We start from the raw sequence: 3,075 nt of genomic DNA, 5'->3' as shown, positions 1-3,075 counted from the left end.
CTGGGATAACTGGTTTGCCATATGCAGAAGACTGAGGCTGGACACTTTTGCATATGGACACCATATACAAAAATCAACTCAAGACTTGATTAAAAACCAATTTGAAACCCAAAACCATAAAAACCCTGGAAGAAAACCTAAGCAATGCCATCTGGGACGCAGATACAGGCAAAGATTTCATGACAAAGTCACCAAAAGCAGTTGCAACAAAAACAAAAATTGACAAGTGGATCTAATTACACTTAACAGCTTCTGCACAGCAAAAGAAACTATCAACAGAGGAAAAAGATCTACCAATTGGGAGAAAATATTTGTGAACTCTGCATCTGACAAAGGTCTAATATCCAGCTTATATAAGGAACTTAAACAAATTTACAAAAGAAAAACAAACAACCCTATTAAAAAGTGGGCAAAGGACATGAACAGACACTTTTCAAAAGAAGACACATGCAGCCAACAAGCATATGAAAAAAGCTCAATATCACTGATTATCAGAGAAATGCAAATCAAAACCACAATGAGATACTATCTCATACCAGTCAGAATGGCTATTATTAAAGAGTCATAAAGTAACAGATGCTGGTGAGATTGTGGAGGAAAGGGAGCACTTATACACTGTTGGTGGAGTGTAAACTAGTTCAACCATTGTGGAGAGCAGTGTGGCAATTCTTCAAAAAGCTAAAAGCAGAACTACCATTCGACACAGCAATCCCATTACTGGGTATATAACCAGAGGAATATAAAGCATTCTACCATAAAGACACATGAATGTGAATGTTTACTGCAGCACTATTCACAATAGCAAAGACATGGAATCAATCTGAATGCCCATCAATGACCAACTGGATAAAGAAAATGTGGTACATGTACACCATGGAATAATATGCAGCCATAAAAAGAAATGAGATCAAGTATGTTGCGGGAATGTGGATAGAGCTGGAGATGATTATCCTTAGCCAACTAGCGCAGGAACAGAAAACCAAATACCACATGTTCTCACTTATAAGTGGGAGCTAAATGATGAGAACTCGTGAATACAAAGAAGGGAACAACAACAGACACTGGAGTCTACTTGAGGGCAGGGAGGAGGGAGAAGAGCAGAAAAGATAACTACTGAACACTGTGTTTAATACCTGGGTGATGAAATAACCTGTGACACAAGATTACCTATGTAACAAATCTTCACATGCACCCCCGAATCTAAAATAAAAGTTTAAAAAATAATAAAATAAATTTTTTTAAAAAATAATAAGTATTACAATTTGGAATGCATACTCAAAGGTACACTTTTTCCATTTGGGCGTACATGTCTTTAGAAGAACTTTTTCAACTATGACAGCCATTAGAATCAAGTACTATTCAAATAATTTAAAACATAGGTTTCAAATTTCTATATCACAAAATGCTACACCAAGTTTTTATATTAGAATGAAGCATCCGAACACATAATGATTCAAGGCTTAAAATAATGTACTTATCCAGAACCAAGATTCAGCAGCTCAAGGCTCCTGGTCTCCCAAAACAATTCTCAAGATGAACTGCCCATTCTCTTCTTTCTATTATCCAGTTTCTAGACAGTGGCTGGTTACTCTTGTTGATCACCTAGCAAGTGATCTCCAACCCTTTATCTACATGTATCACCAGTGGTTAAAAAAAAATTGAATATGTACCTCCATTTATTTGTTTACAAGTTACACACGTGCTATTCTTTGGACAAATCATCTGTATTATGTAACATATACAAAAGTCAAAATTTTAAGTCATGAGAGATTCTGCAATGTAAGTGGCATTACCCTTTAGAAATGTCATCATCATGAAAGAAAGGGAGATTTAGGAACTGTTCCAAGTTGGAGTAACAAATGTATGACCCTTGATTGGATTCTGAAACTCCAAAGAAAATTTTGGAGAAAATAAGCAATGTTTGAATGGGATCTGTGGATTAGATGGTAGTGTTAGATAAATGTTGATTTCATAATTTTGATTTTGGAACTGTAAATATGTGCCAAATATTAAGAGATTTTGTCTGCAACTTATTTTCAAGTGGCACAGGGGGAAAAACCTACAGTGATGTGATGTGATGTGATGTGTGTGTGTGTGTGTGTGTGTGTGTGTGTGTGTGTGTGTGTGTGTAGAGGAAGAGAGAAAGAGGATGCAAATATGGACAATGCTAACAACTGGGAAATCTGGCTGAAGGATATAAACAGCTCTTTGGCCCTTTGTACTACTTTTGGCACTTTTCTGTAAATTTCAAATTGTTTTAAAACAAAAAAGGTAAACAATGTAACATAAATCAAACAAAACAGAAACATCCTTTAAAAAGATGAGACAAGCTTGGGCAACATAGCAAGACACCATTTTTACAAAAAAATAAAAAGTAAAATTAGTCTGGTGTGGTGGCATGAAGCTGTAGCCCCAGCTACTCATGAGGCTGAGACAGGAGGACCGTTTGAGCCCAGGAGCTCAAGGCTACACTGAGCTATGATCCCACTACTGCACTCCAGCTTGGGTGACAGAGTGATTGTGTAATTCTTCTTCCTTATGAAACTATTCCAGAAGAAAACCTTTAGTGATCTTTTTATTAATTAAAAAAAGTTTCCAAATTGTAAAACCAACTCCACTCTTAAAACGTTAGATTTAATAATTTAAAAGTGACTTTTTGTAGGCTAACATTTAATATTTGAGAATTAATGAATTATAAATAATTTAACAAATACATTTAATTGCTATTCATGGCTGTTCAAAAGATTTAAATTATTTAATTTATTAAAGCAATGTTATAAAAAATTATAGGCACGGTGGCTGACGCCTATAATCCCAGCACTTTGGGAGGCCAAGGTGGGCAGATTGCCTGAGGCCAGGAGTTCAAGACTAGCCTGGCCAACATGGTTAAACCCTGTCTCTACTAAAAATTTAAAAATTAGCTGGGCATGGTGGCGGGCACCTGTAATCCCAGCTACTCGGGAGGCTGAGGCAGAGAATTGCTTGAACCCAGGAAGCGGAGGTTGCCATGAGCTGAGATCGCGCCACTGCACTCCAGCCTGGGCAGCAGAGCAAGACTCCATCTCAGAAAAAAAA

This window comes from Homo sapiens, chromosome 3 (assembly GCF_000001405.40).
Source record: "Homo sapiens chromosome 3, GRCh38.p14 Primary Assembly".
Lineage (NCBI taxonomy): Eukaryota > Metazoa > Chordata > Mammalia > Primates > Hominidae > Homo > Homo sapiens.
The sequence above is the reverse complement of the archived record's forward strand: the minus strand, read 5'-3'. Positions refer to the sequence as shown.